At 30.9% G+C, this 7,586-nt stretch overlaps 1 annotated feature.

Annotated features, from left to right (window-relative positions):
• Nucleotides 2,441–3,339: an enhancer, noted in NCBI's record as "OCT4-NANOG hESC enhancer chr6:66999393-67000291 (GRCh37/hg19 assembly coordinates)". NCBI's record gives its function as "activates a minimal SCP1, AML or CMV promoter by ChIP-STARR-seq in primed H9 embryonic stem cells {active_cell/tissue: H9 hESC(primed)}" and the evidence as "EXISTENCE:reporter gene assay evidence [ECO:0000049][PMID:30033119]".

The following is a 7,586-nucleotide window of genomic DNA, read 5'->3' on the forward strand; positions in this document are numbered from 1 at the left end:
AAAGCCCACTTGATTCTGACATATAATTTTTCATACATGGTTACATATGATTTGCTAATAGTTTGTTTAAAATTACTAATATGTGCATTTAGTGAGCTACATTTCCATTTAGGCACTGATTAACATCTTATGTATTTGATGAGTTATATTTTGTTTTCATATAGTTCAAACTATTCTAAAAATTTATCTTGAGACTTCTTTGACCCATGGGTTATTTAGAAATGAATTGCTTAATTTTCAAATATTTAAGGGTACTGTAGCCATATTTCTGTTATTGATTTTTAATTTTTCTGTGGTTTGAGAGCATGCTTTCCATGATGTCTACTTTTTAAATTAGTTAAGGCCCAGACTGTGGTCTATCTTAATGGATGTTTTATGAGAGCTTGATGAGAATGTAAATTTTGCTGTTGTCGGGTGGAGTATTTTAAAAATTCCAGTTAATTTAGTGCTGTTCAACTTATCTATATCTTTATTGATTTTATACATGCTTGATCTGTCAATTCCTGACAGAGGGAAATTAAAGTCTAGATTAATAATAATTGATCAGTCTATTTGTATTTTAAACTCTATTGTTTTTTGTCTCATATGTTTTGACACACTGTTGTTAGGCACATGCATGATTTAAATTTGTATCTTTCTTCAAATTTAAATTTATTTATATTTAGATAATTTATTATATTTAAATTATAATTGCATAATGGCTCTTTATTATTGCATAATGGCTTTCTTTATTACTGATAATCTGTCTTTCTCTGAAGCCTGCTTAGTCCAGATTTCTTTGGATTAATGTTAGTATGGTTTATCATTCTCTCTTCTTATTAACCTATCTGAATCTTTAAGTTTTTTTCTTTTTTTTTAGACAATCTGTAATGGAATCTTTAAAAAAAATTCACAGTGAGAGTTTCCTACTTTTAAGTGGCATTTTAAAATTAATATATTTAGACCTTTCATATTTAAAGTTATTGATGTAGTTGTATCAATATCTACTATATTTGTAACTGTTTTCTACACATCACATTTGCTCTTTGTTTCTTTTTCTTTCCCTCTTTTGCCATCTCTGACTTTAATTACACATTTCATATACCATTTACCCTCACAACTACTGTACCAATTATACTTCTTCTTTGGTATTTTTTTAGTGGCTGTTTTACATTTGAATGTAAATTTTTACTTATCTAAATCCATCTCCAAATAATACTCTTCTGCTTCACATATTGTTTAAGTATCTTATAGCAGAATATTTCTAATTTCTGTCTCCTGTTTCTTGTGACATTGCTCTCATTCATTTCATTTCTATATGCTAGAATTAGCTACTACCTTGTTATTAACATTATTTTAAATAAGCAGTTGTCTTCTAGTCAATAAAAAATGTTTAAAAGTTGCATATATATGTATATATATTTACGGGCATGTATATTTACCTTTATTTATTTTCCAATGATCTTTATTTTTTACACAGATTAAAAATTAGGAGTTTCTCCTCTATGTTATTTTCTGTCTGTCTAAGGAAATTATTCTAACATTTGTTGTTGGTCAGGTCTGTTTTGCTGGTAATAAATTCTGTCAATTTTTGTCTCAGAAGCCTTTTATTTTTGCTTTAATCTTTAAGGTTAATTTTGCTGGATACAGGATTCCATATTGCTATATTTTTTCTTTCTTCTATGCATAAATAAACAAAATATTGCATATTACAGCCATCTAGAATTTCTCCTATCAAACATTTCGTTATGTGTTTGGAGATGTATGTACATACACTCAAATGTTATTTTAGCATATGCATCTTAGTTCTTTCTTGTGTGGGTCCCCAAGGAACTCTTCCATTTGACTATGTTAGTTATTTTCTAAGAATAAAATAAGAAATATAGAAACACATATAGGTACAAAAAATAGCATAACCCTGAAAAACAATTTTAAGCTTAATTATTAAATAAATGAAATTCATAAAAGATGTTAGAGACATTATGAAATATTTCTCTGTATGTTTGGAGTAAGAAGTAGCACAAAGAATAAATAGGAAGTGCTTAGATTATATACTTTTAACAGATGACAGAAAAATATAATGGCATAAATACTCAATTTATCTTTCATGTGTCTTTTCTAGGAAGAAGAATTCTTCAGTCTCTCAATGACCATTAAACTTATTTTTTTACATCTTTAGAAACTACCCTTGTGCAGTAAACTTTAGTCTTTAATGAATGCTTGTTAGACCATACATTCCTGAGAATATGAGGATAGAAGCTGTTTGTCAGAGTTCTTTAGATAAACAGAGCCAATAGGATAGGTGATAGATAAATAGATAGATTATAAGTTTAAAGATGTTTATTATAAGGAAATCACTCTGATAATTATGGAACCTTAGCAGTTTCAAGATCTGTAGTTGCAGAAGGTATATTCTGCCCAAGTCTAAGGGCAGAAGATCAACGACACAGCTTGAAGACAGGCAGAAAAAGTGAATTCTCCTTATTCAGCCTTTCGGTTGTATTGAAATCTTAAACTTATCGAATGAGGCCTACCCACACTGGGGAGTTGGAGACTGCCTTTCTGTTTTTCAAGGGATTCTGAGTACTAAGTCTTCAGACTCGAGGCTAGAAATTGATTGAGGGGCCATGACTTTGTTTTATTGATTCAAGTTAGACTTTTTTTCATTTGACCTAGAAGTTTTTGCTTATACAAATGAAGTAATATGTGATAGGCTTTCTATCTGTATCCATATGGCAATGCTGTACATCTGTTTGAGTCAGACTATTCTGATTGCTGCTTTGACTCTGCTGTCCCATTATAGTAACCACACACACCTTGCCTTTGGTTACTGAAAGCTGTCCCTTCACCTGACTCCTACCACGCTAGAATCCAATTACTCTCACTGCATTTAGGTTTATCAATTCAGTGACTTATTTACTACTGTAAATTCCAATTTACAGAGAGTAGTGATTTTTTTTCTAAATAGCTCACAGCTTCTTCAAGGTCTTCCCATAATGAGATTTACAGGTTCCCATTGTTTCCCAATTAATGTCCTCATTTAACAGTAGACACCCTGCCAGGCTGGGAATTAAACTTACTTTGTTATTCAGCCAGTGATAAGATGAGATTCAGCATTTGATTTTCAGCCATTTTAGCCCTCTGGCTATACGGATCTCCTTCAGGGCATACAGATAAACTTTTGGGTTATTTATGGAATGTTTGAGCTGGGAATTCAAATCCCTGAACTTGTTCTTTTATTTTACCATTTTGTCCAATGACAATATGATCAATTGACAAACTATATTCATTCATTTTCCAAAAATATTCAAAAGTATCAGGTATCCAGACATCCAGCTCCATGCTTATAAGGGTGGATTAAGAATGTTCCATGGAAATATTTTGCATATCTCTATTCCTCTATTGCCAAATTATGCTGTGGACTATCACTGCTTTTTTTTTTCACTGTTTGAAATAGGGTAATTGGTATCTTTAAATCTAGTCACATTAAAGAACCAATTCCAGAAACCACAGAACCAATTAAGAAAATGTATTTTAACATTATATTCCTCTAGAACCACTCTCAGTACCAAAACATATATAAAGATATTTTTATAAGGAGTTGCTGTTTGAAATTATTGGGGCTGAGAGGTCCTAAGACCTGTAGTCAGTAAGCTGGAGACCTAGGACAGCTGATGGCATAGTTCCAACTGAGTCTGAAGACCCTGAGTAAAAAGAGAAGTGATTATATATGTTCCACTACAAGTCCAAAGGCTTGAGAACCAGAGGAGCTGATGGGGTAAATAGAAAGCTGAGTCTGAGACTGAAGGCAGTAGAAGATTGATGTCCTGACTAAGAGATAGGCAGAGAGAGCAAATTCTTTCTTACTCAGCATTTTAATTTTATTCATAATTTGAACAGATTGGATTGGGCCAACTCATATTTGGGAGGGCAATCTGCTTTATTTAGTCTATCAATTTGAATGTTAATTTCATCTACAAACATCTTCACAGATATGCACATAATCATGTTAATCAAATATGTGGTTACCCTGTGGCCCAATCAAGTTGATCACTCAGAGCAACAAAAGAATTGTTATCCAGGAGGATTATACTGTATATCAATTTATGTCTTCCGTCTCAAAAGAATGCTATTAATAATAAAATACAGTGCAAATATTAGGCTATGTCAGAAATAGATTGTCAAGAAGGAAAGATGAATTAAAACACTTTTATAAAAGTTTTGTGAATAACTTTTTATTACAAGATTATGCAAACTTTCTTCTATTACTCAAAAATGGAAAAAAAATTACTGAACTTGATGTTAATATCTGGCAAAATTATATGTGTGATAATCATTTAAAAATTAGAAACATTCTGATAAGATGACCATTAAATTAAAACCAGCACAAGATTTATTAAACAAATTTATCATATTATATGACAATGTTACCAAGTATTTTATAAGGTTACTTTTACACTGTATGTCTTAAATTTTTTAAAAAGGATGTCTACAAAGACATTATTATTATTATTATATTTTTTAAATATTGGTAGAATTTCAATATTATTTGATAGTTTCATTTTATTGTATTAAAACTCTGAAAAATTATATTATTAGTAATTCAAATTGGATTTTCAGGGCAGCCTATGGTCAAAAGCCATAAGGATTTTATCTTGAGAACAAAATTAGATCATGATTTTACATGTACAGACATATGTGTGGGTATAAATTTGTAATTTTTAGTCAGTATTGCAGCAAGACATACAAAATAAATTTTAATATAAAATACCGGTGAAAAACATTTTAAAGAAGAAAATTTGCCTTTTAAATTAAAAAAGAAAATGTAATATGTTTAAGCTTGGAAAGGCTTGACTTGGAAACAGTTATTTAAATAAGATGGGGAATGAGAGGAGTTTGTCGTAATTATTAGGGAAAACATGATACACCTGCAGCCACACTAGAGAAAAAGAAAAGAAGTACTTAAGTTTTGCATATTCATGATATGCCAAGCACCAGTGCAGGTATTATGAAATCAGTACGCACTCCATACAGTGTTGTTGTACTTGCTGTTTTCCAAATGAAGCCAACTGACTTGCTGATCTTTTATGTATTATTTTTGCTGAAAAATGATTCAAATCAAGTCTAACGGAAGTCATGCCTATACACTTACTCTCATAACACATAACTGTGGTTATATGCCCCCTCAACATCAATCATCAACTCTTGTTCAGATTCCTGAATATAGTTATGCCTAAATCAGACACCAGCAAAAGGAGACACGTCCAGAAGAAGTAGCTGCACTGGAAAAAAAAAAGTCTGTAAAGTCCTAACAGAAATGACTGTGGAAATGGAGATGTAACCTGCAGGAAAGAAAATTGAGACTGTTATTAGATAAACTATGTTCCCCCAAATTTCACAGGGTGAAGTTCAAATCCAAGTACTTCAAGATATAATAATATTTGTATATGGATTCACTAAAAAGGTGATTAATTTAAAATGAGACCCCTTGGTGGGGATATAATCCAATATGAGATGAGAGGTGTCCTTAGAAGAGGAAGAGATGCCAGGGGTTCTCATGCACTGAGGAACAACCATATGAGTACAAAGCAGCAAGAAGGTGACTACATGCAAGCCAAGAGAGGAGGCTTCAGAGGAAACAAACCCTTCTAATACTTTGATGTCGGACTTCCAGTCTCCAGAACTGAAAGAAAATAAATTTCCGGTATTTAAGCCATCCAGTATGTGATATTTTGTAAAGGCAGCCCTAGCAAACTAGCAAACTAATATAGGGAAATAATATAGGGAGATAAAGACACTGAGTATTTGAAGTAGTATCATCTTAAGAGGTACACATACTTGTGAATTATCCCATAAGAAAAAATGAGAATTAAAAGCATCCAGAGATAAATTTGATTAAATCTACAAACTACTTTTTCAATTAAATTATTTTTTTTTAAATGAATAGCAGTTTTTTTATGATGCTTAAAAGGGAAAAATAATTGCTGGGGAGTAGTAAGGAAGAAAAGAAGTAAGAACAGTTTTAATTTCCCTTTTGCCTATATAATTCTCATCTTTAGAGGTCAACTTAGATAATACTCCAGGAAATCATCTGCTAATTAGACATCCTGTAGCACTCATTACATTGTCTTGAATGTGCTTGATTTATTTCATATCTTGCATCCTAAAATACAAGGCACTATAAACCAGGTAGGTTTTTATCTTCATATTTAATTTTTAGTCACTTTCTGAAACAGGGCAGTCAGTATACATTTGCAGAAAGAATAAATAAGAAATAATTAAAAAAGAAGGAAGGAAGAAATGAACAAACTAATAGATAAATGAAGAGATAAAACTGTAATCCCATTTAATGGAGTTATTCACAAAATTAAATGATTGTCAGGAGTTCTGAAGAATAAATTCTCAATAGTGAGGTTGTTAGAGGCTAAATGTCCTCTACATTCCTTTAGGATTCAAAATTCTATCAACTTATAATCAGTTATATTGAGAAATACTTAAAATATCAACATATCCTTCAAAGCTCCTTCAATTTACCAGTAAATAATAAACTGATACATGACATCTACAACATTTAAAATGAAATAACAGTTGATTCTAGTCTGATTAATTGCTTGTTAGAATAATCACGCTCTCCACCTTCCCCAGGGAGTACTCAAATTAAGTGACATCCTTTGTAATACATTATGTGCTTCCTCTTTTGAATTAAGAATCTTTTTAAAATAGCCATATAATAAGAAATGAATTAGTAAACATCAATTTGCCTTTATTTTATGGATAATTGTTCTGTAATTTAAAAGTTATTTTTAAGCACTTAAAATTTCTCTTTGGGAATAGTTCTAATAGTTTTTTTTTTTGTTGTTGTTAATCATTTTTTTGTTTTGTCTTAGATAAATGTATTTTTAAAAATCATTTGGCTGTGAAAAATTGAAGCAATAGCCATATTATTTAGGGCCCAATTCGCACTCAGCTAAAACAAATCTTTCTCCAGTAACAACATATACACCGAGATACTTTTAATGAACCATTCAATTATTTGTTCTTTTGTAAAATTTACATTACTAATTTAGAACTGAGTGCTTTTGTGTAGGATTTACATACTTAACAGAAACCTTTTCCAAGAGATTTATATATTCACATTCAGCCACACAACCAAATAATTATAATGCAATGATAATCATCATAATAGGAAAACAAGTGTAGGCAATTAAATGTTTTCTCTACATTTATAGCTCATAGCTTCTTTTTTCTTATGGGAAGCTTTTTCATAGCATTGTCTTTAATAACTGAGAAAATTTTTGTACCAAAATTAGAAATTTACATATATGCTGCAAATTAGTAAAATAAATGTAGTTTCCTATTTTTAATATCTGATGTGGTTTTTTTAGAGCTACAGTATTTTAGATAACTCAATCTTGTTTTAGTTAAAATTCTCAGTATTCAGTGTCTAAAGAGAGTAGGACTAGAAAGTGGCTTCACAGTCCTTAGTGTTCTGCTTAAGGGTGGATGACTCCTTTGTGGTGTGCTTAGATTTCACTCATGGGTTTTTTTCTGGTGGCTGAAGTCAAATTGTACAATTAGAAGATATTCATCTTGTCTTTCTCTTAGCT

This window comes from Homo sapiens, chromosome 6 (assembly GCF_000001405.40).
Source record: "Homo sapiens chromosome 6, GRCh38.p14 Primary Assembly".
NCBI lineage: Eukaryota > Metazoa > Chordata > Mammalia > Primates > Hominidae > Homo > Homo sapiens.